This window comes from Homo sapiens, chromosome 22 (genome assembly GCF_000001405.40).
Source record: "Homo sapiens chromosome 22, GRCh38.p14 Primary Assembly".
In the NCBI taxonomy this organism is placed as follows: domain Eukaryota; kingdom Metazoa; phylum Chordata; class Mammalia; order Primates; family Hominidae; genus Homo; species Homo sapiens.
The window spans coordinates 33,692,895-33,707,800 of record NC_000022.11 but is presented as its reverse complement, the minus strand read 5'-3'; the positions used below and the strand labels follow the sequence as shown (position 1 = coordinate 33,707,800).

General features: G+C 44.1%; 1 protein-coding gene and 1 non-coding gene across 23 annotated transcripts in view; both read left to right on the top strand.

Annotated features, from left to right (window-relative positions):
* Nucleotides 1-14,906, top strand: part of LARGE1 (LARGE xylosyl- and glucuronyltransferase 1) — an 856,162-nt gene that overhangs the window by 215,024 nt on the left and 626,232 nt on the right. The gene's annotated exons all lie outside the window — the stretch shown is intronic.
* On the top strand, nucleotides 2,881-3,015 carry SNORA50B (small nucleolar RNA, H/ACA box 50B). The gene has a single exon (NR_145833.1). It is a non-coding gene; the product is annotated as a small nucleolar RNA, H/ACA box 50B (small nucleolar RNA).

Sequence of the window (14,906 nt, the reverse complement as noted above, 5' to 3'; positions counted from 1 at the left end):
TAACAGTGACATCAGCCACTTGGGTGTGTGGGTCGACTGTGGGAGGCAGCTCCATCTGGAAACTAAAAAGAGACACAAAATCCTCTTCTTTTGCTTCCCCCGGACTTATCTGTATCTTTGCAGGTAGACAGGGCCAAATGGAGAATTTACAAATTGACACTTTTCTAAAGCAGCTTGATATTTTAGAAAGTTCCCTTGATTCCAAAGAACTGAGACCAGGGAGTAAGATTGGCTGCAAAGCCAGAGCAGTTGGAGAAAGGAGGGAGCATGATGCGTGTGTGCTTGGACAGTCTTGGTTGTTTTGCATCAGAAATATAGCCACAAACCCCATCTATAGGATTTTAGGAACCTAATAACCACTTCCAGCTGTTAACACCTTGAGACTTTCTAAGTTACAGTCAAAGAGGATCCCTGGCAAGCTAACATTGATTTTATAAATTTTGTTATAGGGAGGTTGAATGTTTTTCCCATTCACCTGGATACTCCCTGTATTTTACTAATGGACTCACAGTAAAATGATGGGCCTGCTTGTGCCAGGGGGCAGGTGTGGCCCCGGGAGCTCTCCCTTTCTCACCTGACAGATGCATCTAGTGTCAGGGCAGTGAGAGAGGGAAGCCAGCATGTTTTCCCCATTCCCTCCCACATCTTTAGTAGCCATGATATTATTCAGCTAGAATTGGTCTCGCGTGCCAGTTCTGGATCTACTGAAGATGACAGAATTCTTACTGGATGATGGGGTGATGGTTGCTTTTTCAGGCTGCTTTCTGGTGACATTCTGGAAGACACACCTTAACACATATATGTTAGTTTTCTGTTGCTACTATATCAAATCACCATACACTTAGTGGCTTAAAATAATACAGATTTACTTTTTTATAGTTCTGGAGGTCAGAAGTCCAAAATCAGTCTCACTGGACTAAAGTCAGGGTGTCCATAGGGCTGTTTCATTCTGCAGTGGTTTCAGGATCTGAGATGTCATGGATTAGGAAGAATTTGAGATTGTACCTGCCTGAGGGCAGAAAAGGGCCAATTCACAGGGATTTATGTGTCTCTGTCTTTTGACGAAAAGAACTTCTAAGAAGGTAGGTTAGCTATGCAAATGATCTGAGGCCCAGGTATCTTCTGTCTGGATTTGCTGAATCATTTCCTTTCTTTAAAGCGATTTAGTTGATTTTTACTAGAACCTCTTCCATCCCCTTCCAGAAGGAGAATCTGAAATTACATCAAGTTACTTGTTTAATAATTTTATTAGTTGTCCTGTGACCAAGACTGACTTACCCCAGGTAACACATTGAGTTATGGGCCGAGTTGGGACTTGAACCTGTGGCTTCTTTCCTAGCCTTGAAGCTCACCCCTTATACCAGGATACTCTTGCTGCTTTCTAGGAGCTCCCCCTTCCTGTTTCCTCCTCTGCAGTGCAGATGGTGCCATGAGAGGGAGCTTTCCCTCTGTTCTCAGGCCCTGACGAGGTCCCTCTTGGCCATTGGAGGCGGTACCCTGGAGGCTTGTGTGGGGGTGTGGGCTGAGCCGTGTGATCCATGTTTGCTATAATGGGAAGCAGCTCCCAGAAGAGAAAGACATGCATTTGTATGCAGCCAGTCTGATGGGGTTGAAATAAACTCAGCACTGATCAAACGACACACAGCCAGCACATTGCAGGGAAGACAAACCAACATGGAATGCTGATTTTTCTCACTGTCATCTTTAGAAACCTTCTTTCTTGTCGCCCACCGGGGCAGTTAACTGTTAGGAGCCAGCCCTGTGTTCAAATCCATTTATTGATGGATGTGTTTTCCATTTATCATCTGTGGGACTCTTGGGTGATGTTTCTTTTCCGAGCTCCAATTCTTTCATCTATAAACTGGGCATGTTAATGGTAACTCATAGATTTTTAGAGTTAAAGTAATGCAAGTGCCTTACACAATGCCTGCACGTATTAAACATTCAGTAGTAGGTAGGTGCTATTATCATCATCGAAAACATTATCATGTTTATTGCCTTATTGACTTGGATGAACACGGTAGTGTATATAATAAAGTAGCCAGTCTAGAATCTGGCCTGTGGTTATCTGTAATAAATGAAAGCTGTGGAAATAGTGTGGGATAACTCAAAGACCTGAATAATTCAGCAGATACAATGGAGTTGGAAGATTCTAGGGACTTAAATTCTTCTCCCAGCTCTGTCTCAAAATAACTGCATTGCCTTGGACAAGTCGCTTTGCTTTCCATAACTTCACTTTCCTCATCAGTGAAATGGGGCTGAGCATTGTGTGGTATTGGAAAAGAATAACTGAAGTGCTTAGTTCCATGCTGGAATGAAGTAGAGACGTGAGCAGTGCTGTCTTATCTGACTTACTGGTGGGATCAACATCGCTCTTCCTGGAGAGAGCCAGGTCATCACAAGAACCATAAATTGTGCGTATCCTTTAACTCCATGATAGACCCTTCAACTCAATGCTTTTATTTTCAGGGAAATACTGTCTCCAAATATAGACTCTAAAAGAAAAGATGGAAGGGGGTGGAACAGACTCTGCAAGAATCTGTTCATGACAACGCTGTTGAAAACAGCTCAAAATTGAGGCTTCAGCAGTGCCCAGTGTTGCCAGGTGTGTGTTGTGTTGTGCTGTATTGTGTGTGTTTCCACCACAGAGCCCTTTGTGGCTGTGGGACCTGTCAGACGCATGAGACGTGTAGCTTTCTAATTTATGGGGTGCACCATGGTGGCAAGTGTTGGTGATGGCCACACCCTACTGTTTTGATGGAAGGACAGTGACTTGGCCAAGGTTTTACAGCCGTGAAATGTCTCAGTGAGGATTTGAGCTCAGGTTTCTTGTGCCTGGGTCCTCCTTAGTGTGGGTCCTCTGCTCTGGCAACAGGCAGAGCACTGCTTTAGAGCCTCTGCGTGTCTGGCTGTGGCCTCAGGGGTCTAGCAGCAGTGCTAGAGCAGACCCAGCTTGTCAGATCCGGGGCTGCTTAGAGGCCACCTAAGTGATTCCTTTGGCAGCAAGCAACATTCGGCCAAGGACATAGCTGGCGGGGGCCCTGACAAGGGGTGTGTGAGTGCATAAAGGTTGGTGTATCAGGAGTAAGTGAGAAGGAGGAGGCCGGCTGGAATTTTACCCTTCAGTGCTTTTCTGTGTGTAGACAGAGATTGGGCGGAGGTAGGTAGGGACCATGTGTAGGTGGATTATCATCTTTTCCAGGCCTCACTGATGAGTGTCGTGCCTTGCAACAGTAGTGCTCAGGGAATCAGGCTCAGTTGCGAGAGGCTCCCGGCAGATGAGGGTACTGCCCAGAAGGATCATGGAGAGCTCAATGATGGAATGTTCACAAAGCTTCTGGCCCTAAGAGAGCACTCGGTGAGCATGGGTTGCCTGTCCCGTTCCTGGAGTTGGGGCAGGGTGGGACATTTGAACGAGGTCTTTGTAGCCATACAGCAATCATCAGGCCAGGATTCTGGGGAGAAATCCCCAATTTCCAGTAAGTTCCCCTGTCTGCACACCCGTGCTTGTACTGGGTCACAGCCCTGCAGATACATGTATGCATCTTCAAGAACATTAGAGTGGGATTTGGAGGCATAAAATAGCCTTCCATATTCCTTTGTTTTATACAGTATACATCATTACTTTGTTTTATACAGTAATTACAGTCTATAATAAAAGAAATGAGTCAATAAAATGGATAATTAGACATGTGGTCATTCCTAAGATTTAAGATCTAGAAATATGACAATTCAGCGCTTTAGTATCCCTCTGCTAAGACGCTTTAGTGGAAGCTCCACATTGAGGATAAAACTTAAACTCAGGCTGGTGCACAGATCCTCCCATGACTTGGCCTGAGCCTGCCTCCTCTAATTCATTTTTCTGATGTTCTTCCTTAACATTCTGGAAGACACACCTTAACACATATATGTTAGTTTTCTGTTGCTACTGTATCAAATCACCATAAACTTAGTGGCTTAAAATAATACAGATTTACTCTTTTATCGTTCTGAAGGTCAGAAGTCCAAAATCAGTCTCACTGGACTAAAGTCAGGGTGTTCACAGGGCTGTTTTCTTCTGGAAGCTCTGAGGGAGAATCCCATCCCCTTGCCCTTTTCAGCTTCTAGCAGCCACCTGCATCCCTTGGCTTGTGGTCCCATCCTCCATCCACAAAATGAATCACACCACTTTCTGCCTCCATTATCACACCAACATTCCCTCCGACGCCGACTCTTCCTGCATCTCTCTTATAAGGACCTTTGTAATTATATCAGGCCCAGCAGGATAATCTGGGATCATCTTCCACCTCTAGGTCTTTAATCATACCTACAAAGTCCTTTTTTGTTATGTAACGTGATACTCACAAATTTCAGGAATTATCAGGAGGTAATCTTTGGGGGGCATTATTTAGTCTATCATGATGTGTCTCTCTAGTCTTTTTTTATTTTATTTTTTTTTTTTTTTTCACTTTAGGCTCTGGGATACATGTCCTAAACATGCAGGTTTGTTGCATAGGTATACATGTGCCACAGTGGTTTGCTGCACCTGTCAGCCTGTCATCTGGGTTTTAAGCCCCACATGCATTAGGTATTTGTCTTAATGCTCTCCCTCCGCTTTTCCTCCACCCCTCTGATAGGCCCTGGTGTGTGATGTTCCCCTCCTTGTGTCCATGTGTTCTCATTGTTCAACTCCCATTTATGAGTGAGAACATGCGATGTTTGGTTTTCTTTTCCTGTGTTAGTTTGTTGAGGTTGATGGTTTTCAGCTTCATCAATGTCCCTGCAAAGGACATGAACTCATGCACTCTAGTCTTTGTACCTGGTGTTTGCACTTCCTGGAACACCTTTTCCTGCCTTCTTTGCCAGGGTAACTCCTAGTCACCCTTTAGAACCCCGTCTCAGGGTCTTCTGCTCTACAAGAAGACAACTTTGTACCTAATCTTTCTCCTGCTCCATTGTTCTGGCAATCTGCCCCTCTTCCTTGCTTATCTAATATCTTGAGCCTACACATCTAGTAACATTTACCTCACACTGTATTGTAGTTATAGGTTTATTTTTCTTGCCTCTGTAGTCCTTGGGGACAGGAGCTGCTGTAATTTGATGGATGCCCAGGATAACAGGGACCACAGCAGGAACCTTATCTCACACCATAGAGGCATCCCAAGGAGAAGCCCTTTGTCCTGATTTCCACGTAGCCTTCCTTGTTGGCCTGGAATTACATTTCCTCCTAGAAACTGCAGTCCATTGGGCTTCAGCTTGTCAAGGTCCCGTGTTTTCCTGTCCCTTCGACTGTCTAATTCCCTCTTTGTTGGTCTGCTGTAGATTAGCCTAAGTAAAAGTGAATAGACAATTTCCTATTAACATTTATATTGCTTTTCTTTTCTATTTCTCGGCAAGGCCCTGAAAACTAGGATGGCTGTGGAAAAATGTTGTTTTATCTAAATAATGTCCCTACTGGGGGCTAGATTCTGGCTTTTGGCTGGGCCTTGGAGAATGGTAGGTGTGGTGGACACATGAGCCCCAGGAAAAAATTAAGGCGCAGAGGTCAGTCCAGAAGCTGCAGATTACATTCAGCAAATGCATATTGAATGCCTACTATGTGTCTGCACCCATGCAAGGTCTTAGTGCATGTAATTCATATCTAGCATTTATTAAGCGGTTATTATGTTCCCAGCACATAATATGTGCCAAGCATTGTTCCTAGTGCTTTACCTTGACTTTTTGGAACAACTCTGTGAAATGCAGCCACAGTTATTGGAGGAGATGGCAGTGGAGCCGGCTCTTGCAGATGAGAAGGATTGGGACAGGTTTTTATGACAGAGGAGAGGAACACTCACACTAATGAACTAGCAAAATCGCAAGACACAAGTAGATTCAGACACCCATGAGCACAAGAGGCCGACACTCAAATATCCCCTAAGAATCTGATTACTTCATTGTGCCCTCCCCTTTTGAGCTGTCACCATGGATTCCACTTGCAGCAAGGACTGCCATGTTGCTTCCCTATATCCATTGTCCCTTTTCTGCTTAGGAACAGACTTCTGCTTACATTCAGGAGAGCAAAGCAGCCAGATAAATGACTGTCTCCCTGCCCCTGTGGCAGTTGGGCATGGCCATGGAACTTCAGGGAATCCACTTACAATCACTTTTGCTGTTGAGATGTGTCCCCGTTTTTGGCCTTCTCTTCCACTACTTTTGGCTGCCAGCCTGCAACAAGGATGTTGATGCTCTAGCATGATATTGGACACTGAGGGGCCTCAACCTAGAGCTGAGGATGGTAAAGCAGAATGTTGGGATCCAGGGAAGTCAATGGCACTGTTAAATCACGTTCCACCCTACACTACCAACCTCCTGACTTTCTGGATGTGAGAGAGACATAAAAGTCCCTTTGGTTTAAGCCACTGTTATCAGGAATTTATTGTCACGCGCTGCCGAGACTAATTGCAGTGGATGCACTGTTCTGTTTCCAGCAACCTCCTTTTCATCTGCAGAAGTCCACATTCCACCTTTGCTTTATGAAAACTTTTGGCCTCCAATTCCCATTTTCCTTTCCATCTGTTGCCGTTCTTCTGAAAACACCATCATGGACCCATCCAATCATGTATCCTGACAGCAATGTAAAGGCATCATTTCCAAGCATCTTCAGGTACTCTCCCTGTAGCACCTGCGTTCCCCTCCAGGCCGTGACCACTCCGAGTGTGATCCAGGTACAAAAAGCATCAGCATCACCTGGGAGCTGCTCAAGAAGACACAACTGCAGGCCCATCCCAAGATTATGAATCAGAGCCCGCATTTTAACAAGATCCCAGGAAATCCATGTTCCTCTTACAGGGTGAGAAACACTGCTGTCAACGTCTTTGTCCTCACTGCCAGCTGCTCACCTCAGACCACGGATGTGGAAATCCACTCTCGGGCTACACCCTCCTGTCCCTCCAGGTCTCTCATGCCTTGTCAACCTTTCCTACAAGCTTAAAAGGTACCTAAACTACTGCAGATTGCTACCCACTCTTCCCAGAACAAAATAATTGCTTTCACACTTCCCTGCTTTTGTTTCTGTTTTTCCCTCTACTCAGAATGTCCTTCAAGACCTCTGCCTACTTATGGGTTTCCTACTCACTCTTCAAGGCCAGCTCAGACACCGCCTCCAGGCCACCAGCATTTGGGGGAGAGGGACTGTGCCTCTCCATCAATAAGAGAGCACCACAGTGGGCTCTGAACAGCTTCTTCACCTATAAAATTCAGAGATGAAGTCCACCGGGACTCTTGGATCAGAATCAATCCTCTATTTCCTTGAACAGAGCATAGTTCTGGCACCCCCGCCAGCCCTCATGTCATCCCATTTTGCATTTTATTTAGTCATTTACACACATACCACTTTGGATTGTGAGGCAGCATTCAGCCTTCCGCATAGTGCCTGGTACACAATTAATTCTCTGGACATTGTAGTTAAACTTCAGTGAATGGTGACACTTGAGTGGTCAAGTTGATGGTAGATAGTACTGGGTGTTTTTCCTAGAGCATCGATTCTCAAACTCCAGCATGCATCAGAATGACCTAGAAGGCTTGTTGGAACCCCTTCTTCTCCCCAAGTGTCTGAGTTAGCAGGTCTTGGGAGGCCTCAGAATGTGCATTTCTAACTACTGTGTAGGTGATGCTGCTGTTCCCAGGACAACCCTTTGAGAACCACTGTCCTTAAGGAATACGTAGATTTGTTGCCTTTCCTGGAGGCAACAAATCTCATGCTCCTGGAGAGAAGGAAACAAATCTATGTACTCGTTAAGGACAGTGGTTACATTAGAACCTGCAATGTAAGTCAGTGGTTGCATCGGAACCTGCAATGTAAATCAATCTTGAAAATAGACAAAATAGACATGGGAATTAAATACAGAGAAATTAGATCAATGGATGAACCAATAGAGAAGTGACTGGGATCAAGAGTGCTTTGGAGTCTTGTTTTTCAATTTTTTTCCAAACAAATTCACCTAACCTTAGATGCTGCTGAGTGTAAGACATGGCATTGTTTTACATAAAGCCAAGAAATCTTTTAATTAAATCATGGCACAATTTTTTTTTATCCCTTTGAATCTTTCTTTTATGCTTATTGAAAGAACTATTTTAGACTTGGGTTTTTGTCATATTTTATTGCTATGCCTACACATAAAGAAAAGTATAGGCAAATATATTGGTTCAGATATTGCAAAAGCTTCTTTGCTTGGAATCTCACTCTTCAGAATCTGTTTTTCAACTCAGTGTCATCTCCTGCATCTGTCTACATCGTGCCGTCCTCTGCATCATCATGAGCATGGAGCATTTCTTATGAAAATCCTGTGAAGACGACACTTAACCCACTTTGCAGCTCTGTGGAGCTGGCCTCCTCCTGGCTCTGCTTCTAGGAATGTTGCTAAACACATCTGGTTCTCCATTTCTTCCTGCCTCTTCCCACAACCATTTGGTTCATAGCGGTTAAAAGAATGACTCCCTTCATTGTCTCCGGGATTTTCACTGAAGCCTGTGACACCCATTCTGCGAAGAGGTGAAGGCACTAGTGGAAACAGCTGTGTTACCCCTGCTGTGTGGTCTCCAGTGATTGCTCAAACTTTCTCGACTTCAGGGATGTTAGAATGTGAAAAATAGTTTTTCTTAGAAACAATAAAGCTTGTAAAATGCTCTCTACTTGCCGAGCAGATGTTTTCACCATCATGGGTTTTCATATAACCAGTCTCAGTTCATATTTACATCGGTTGTTCAAGGTCAGCTTTGGGAGGTCAGCCTACAGAGGAGGACCCCGAGTCTCTGTCAAACTTGCAGGCAGGCATTCGTTCACTCTTGAAAGATTTATGGAGTTCGTGCTATGTGCCAGTCACCAGGGGATAATCAGTGAAGAAATAGGTATATAAGATTGAGTCATTTAAGTGTTACGGGGAAGAAAGTAAGTCAGGGGAGCAGGGTGTTAGGGAAAGCTTTTTGAACAGACACTAGAGTGAAGTCAGGGTGCACAGCACACAAATATCGAGAGGATGCACGTTCCATCCAGTGGACATTGCAAGTGTGAAGTTCCCGTGGCAGGAGTGTGCTTGTCTTGTTGGAAGATCAGCAAGGAAGCCAGCTGGGCTGGATGAGTGGACGTTCAGTAAAGGTTCAGTAAATGGCCCTACCTGGGATGTAGCTGAGCTGAAATGTCCATCCAGATCTTTGAGTTCTAAGCTAAGGGTTTGTTGGCTGGGCGCAGTGGCTCACGTTTATAATCCCTTTGGGAGGCTAAGGCGGGCAGATCGCTTGAGGCTAGGAGCTCAAGACTAGCCTGGCCAACATGGTGAAATCCCATCTCTACAAAAAGCAAAAAGAATACAAAAATTAGCCGAGCGTGGTGGTGTGCCCCTGTACTCTCAGCTACTCAGGGGGCTGAGGCAAGAGAATCGCTTGAAACTTGCAGATAGAGGTTGCAGTGAGCAGAGATCACACCACTGCACTCCAGCCTGGGTGACTGAGTGAGGCTAAGGCGGGCAGATCGCTTGAGGCTAGGAGTTCAAGACCAGCCTGGCCAACATGTCAAAATCCCATCTCTACAAAAAAATACAAAAATTAGCCGAGCGTGGTGGCGTGCTCCTGTACTCTCAGCTACTCGGCAGCCTGAGGCAAGAGAATCACTTGAACCTTGGAGAGAGAGGTTGCAGTGAGCAGAGATCGCACCATTGCACTCCAGCCTGGGTGACAGAGTGAGTGAGACTCCATCTTAAAAAATAAAAAATAAGTAAGGGTTTGTCCACATGCAATAAAGTGTGAGAAGCCACTGCAGATTACATCCTTCTCTGTTTACTGCGGTGAGTTGAGTCTTTTAAGAAACAAATGTCTTGATTAATCCAGCCCCAGTAGCAAGGCATGGCAGAAAGATATGCTTATTGCTGTCATCTTTGTGCTGCCTAAGAAACACCCACAGTGTCTCATTCCTGAGCAGCGGTTTAACTCACCCAGGCAAGGATGACCACACATGTAGGGTGAAAAGGATGTGACAGAGAAATACAAACATTTCATTCCCAGTGTGTGTTCTCAAAATAGAATGTGGGACTTTCAACTCTTTCTTCTTTGAAGAACATTGTTGAGAGAAAGACTCTGCAGCGCACCGCAGAAGAAGGAACAGAGATCTGAGTTTTGATCCCAGCTCTGCCAATAATTAGCTGTGGGACTATAACCATTAGAGTTCAGTTACAGACAAGAGGATGCATGAGCTTCAACAGAAAGAGATGTATTTCCTTTTTTTTTTTTTTTTTTTTTGGGACAGAGTCTAGCTTTGTCGCCAGGCTGGAGTGCAGTGTTGGTCAGGATGGTCTCAATCTCCTGACCTCGTGATCCGCCCGCCTTGGGCTCCCAAAGTGCTGGGATTGTAGGCATGAGCCACTATGCCCTGCCAATGTATTGCCATTCTTAAGTGCCTTGAAGAATCCTAAGAGGCTAGAGACAAAGGTGAGAACCATATTGAACCAGACCACCAAGGAAACTGTGGTTAAGAAGCCATGGGGTGGCTGCTCCCTTACGGACCCTGCTGTATCTGCTGAGATCTGTATAAGCAGGACGAGAACCATACTTTTTGATACTTGAGAAGTTTGGGACTGGACTCAGAGCTCTAACGACAGCTGCCTCAAAAAGAAAATAACATCCCTTGTTCATGCTTGCCAGAAAACGGCAGCAGAAGCAGGCCCAAGGGCATCCTCTACCTCCTGGCATTCATTTTTGCCTCTGTCATCTCATGCAGGTGTGTCTGCTTGGTGGAAACTGGGTTTCACAACAGAGTCCAAGATGTAAAGGAGTTTGGAAAATGTCTAATGTGGCTTTTGATGTATGTAAGGGAAATATTTAAGGCAATCCTATTGTAAATGAGAGAGGATAAAGGGATACAATGGGAGTTAAGTGTGCTGCAGTTCACTCGAACTGGTAAAATGTCAGCCCCAGTTGACTTTGATAAATTATGCATATGTAATATAATACCTAGAGCAACTGTTCAAAAAGCTATACAAAGAGATGCATTAAAAACCACCATAGGTAAATTACAATGGAATTCTAAAAAATGTTCAAGCAACTCACAGGAAGCAGGAAAGACCACAATGAGATGCCATTTCAAACCCACCAGCATGGCTAAAATTAAAATAAAACAAAACTAACAACATCAGATGTTGGTAAGAATGTGTTGCAGCTGTATCTCTCACACATTACTGGTGGGAATATAAATGGTTCATCCCCTTTAAAGAAAGGTCTGCTGATTTCCTATAAAACTGAATAGATAGGCCTGTAATCCTAGCACTTTGGGAGGCCAAGGCGGGCGGATTGATTGAGGTCAGGAGCTCGAGACCAGCCAGGCCCACGTAGTGAAACCTTCTCTACTAAAAATACAAAAAATTAGCTGGGCGGTGGTGGCAAGTGCCTGTAGTCCTAGCTACTCAGGAGGCTGAGGCAGGAGAATCCCTTGAAACCAGGAGGCAGAGGTTGCATTGAGCCGAGATTGCGCCACTGCACTCCAGCCTGGGCAACAGAGTGAGACTCTGTCTCAAAAAAAAAAAAAAAAAGAAAGAAAGAAAGAAAGAAAGAAAGAAAAATACTGAATAGATATCTACCCTCTGACCCTTCAGTTGCAGTTGTAGTTATCGCTGGACTATGAAACTGTTATTGCAAAAACAGCCCAGGTATTCATCACTGAGAGAATAGATAAATAATTTGTGTTCCGTTAATATCATGGTATGCCACTCACCAAGCGGTCAGTAAAAACAGATTAGCAATACATGAAACAACTTGAATGAATTGCAGAAACTTGATGTTATGAGAGAAAGCTTACCCAAAGAGTATATACTTCAGGATTCCTAATAGATCGAGTTTGGGGACAGGAAGAACCAATCTATAACAAAGCTTAATCAATAAGGGATTGCCTATGGTGGGAGGATGCAGATATTGTCAGAGAAGGAGCTTGAGGGAACTTCCTCATCACTCCAGAACGTTCTGCATCTTGAAAAGTGTTTGGGTTACATAGGAGTATGCATTGTCAAAATTTTCCCAGTGATTTGTGCATTTCATTATATGTAACTTTTACCATGAAGGCGGGGAAAAAACCCATAAACATTATTGAATCCTGGTTAATGATATACATATTAAAATGCCTAGGAAGTAATGTGCTGCTGACTATCTTACTGTTTTGAAATGCATTAAAAAACCAAAGATGTGTTGATAGATGGATAGAAGGATAAATATGATAGAAGCAAATATGGTAAGAGGGTCTTGGTACATCACAGGGGCAGCTATATATATGTTCATTGTAGAATTCTTTCAACTTTACTGTGTATTTGGAATTTTTCATAATAAAATATTAGGGAAAAATCTGAAAATAAAATCTTAGGATGTGTGGTACCTTCCTTCATCTGCATCAGGTGGCAGTTGTTTGTTAAGAAAATCACGGCTGGGTATCCCAGCACTTTGGGAGGCCAAGGTGGATGGATCACTTGAGGTCAGGAATTTGAGACCAGCCTGGTCAACATGGTGAAACGCTGTCTCTACTAAAAATAGAAAAATTAGCAGGGTATGGTGGCGTGCGCCTGTAATCCTAGCTTCTCGGGAGGCTGAGGCACAAGAATCACTTGAACCCGGGAGGCAGAGGTTGCAGTGAGCTGAGGTCTTGCTGCTGCACTCCAGCCTGGGAGACAGAGTGAGACTCATCTCAAAAAAAAAAAAAAGAAAGAAAGAAAGAAAAAATTACTGCAGCTATCTGATCATTGCTTTATGGGACAAGGGTGATTTTTGCTGAATTGAATAGAGAGTATACAAAATTAAAATTTTAGGAGACTGAAATAACTGGGATTGGGGATGCAGCCTGGATATAGTATTCACTAAAGATGCTCACTAAGCACTTAATTAATTTATTTCTTTTACTTTGTAAAGATAAGCCCAAAGGTTCATTCTCTAATCTCATCCTTGCTCATGCCCCCAAAGTCAGTGCTGGCATGCAAACACGACCACTAGTCATCTTTTAGATAAGGTTCAATGCAAACATTTATAGTTGGAAGAGACTAGGGGGCTACCTGATCCTATTTTTTTCATTCTCCCTACTCCCTCCCTTCCCCCTCCTGTCTCTCCACACCTTCTCTCTCCATGTATGTGTATGTGTATGTGAATTTACCTAAATCAATTTGGTCATGGACAACTCTTAGCTGAATTTGTAGGTAATAGTAGTGGCCAAAAAGTTGAAGATGGTGGAACCTCAAACTAGAACTTTACTAACATATTGTGATGAAAAAAAAAATATTCCACCAGATTCTGCCACACAAAGAGACATTTATTGATCAAACGTTCATTAGTAGGCGCACAATGATTCAACCAACAGTAGAGATATGTCTCTGCCCTCTGTCCTTTCAGATGCTCTGACCACTCTCTTACAGAAAGGTTCACTAGAGGCAGGTGTGACACTGTGACAGGGACCATTGCTGTCACCCTCATAGTTGGCATTAGGCAAACAGAATTTCTCCTAAGCAGCAGCTGGAAACAGAATAGCTATGGATCACCCCTTAGACAGCATCGCTAAGAATGTTGGTGTCAGCCTCTCTAGATTTTCCTTCTGTGTTATGAAAAGGTGGGGAGTATCTCTAATATTACTGTAGCCAGTCCACGTTGTTGGTAGCACTTTATCTTACCAATGAGAGCTCTTTCCTAACATCTAACATGTCATTTGACAAGCTGCTAATGTCACCAGGAAAAACTGATTCCAGAATTCACTAGATCAAGACAGTGGTGACAGAGGGAGCCACCTCAGGACTGTATTGGGCCTCAAATACTGTGAGCAGATACTGCTCCTTCCTCCAGGGTGGGTCCCTGAGTAAAATGGTCACTGGCTACACCTGGGTTGCACTGCAACCTAAGACTTATGTAAAGTCTACCATGACACACAGGCACACCCTACAGCGTGCTTCTGGGTTGAGGTTTTCTTTTCTTTTTTCTCTCTCTTTTTTTTTTCTTTTTTTAATAGAGACAGAGTCTCGCCCCGTTGCCCAGGCTGGAGTGCAATGGTGTAATCTTGGCTCACTGCAACTTCCGCCTCCGGGGTTCAAGTGATTCTCCTGTCTCAGCCTCCTGAGCTGCTGGGACCACAGGCGTGCGCCACCATGCCCAGGCAACCTTCTGTATCTTTAGTAGAGACGGGGTTTCACCATGTTGGCCAAGCTGGTCTCCAACTCCTGACCTTGTGATCCGCCCGCCTCGGCCTCCCGAAGGCTGGGATCACAGGCGTGAGCCACCGCCCCAGCCATGGGTTGAGGTTTTCATAGTAGAATGACTCTTGTTTGTTTGTTTTAATTTGGTAAATTATATATAACACAATGAGAGCTCTTTCCTAACATCTCCCTTCCTTCCCTCCCTCACTCCCTCCCTCTTTTTAATTTTTTTTTTTTTCATTTCAGTTGCTTTAAGGTTACAGATGGTTTTTGGCTATAAAAATGAATTGTGTAGTGGTTAAGTCTGAGATTTTAGTGGACCTGTCACCCAAGTAGTGTACATTGTACCCAGCGGGTAGTTTTTTGGCTCTCACTCCCTCCCAGCTTTCCCGCTTCTGAGTCTCCAGTGTCCACTGTACTGCTCTTTCTGCCTTTGCGAACCGTAGTTTAGCTCTCACTTGTAAGTGAAAACGTGTGGTGTTTGGTTTTCTGTTCTTGTGTCAATTTGCTTAGGATAGTGGCCTCCAGCTCCATCGAGGTTGCTGCAGAGGAGGTGATTTTGTTCTTTTTTATGGCTGTGTAGTATTCCATGGTGTATATGCACCACATTTTCTTTATCCAGTCTACTGATGATGGACATTTAGGTTGGTCCCATGTCTTTGCTATTGTGAATAGTGCTGCAGTGAACATATGTGTGCATGTGTCTTTATAATAGAATGATGTCTATTCTTTTGGGTATATACT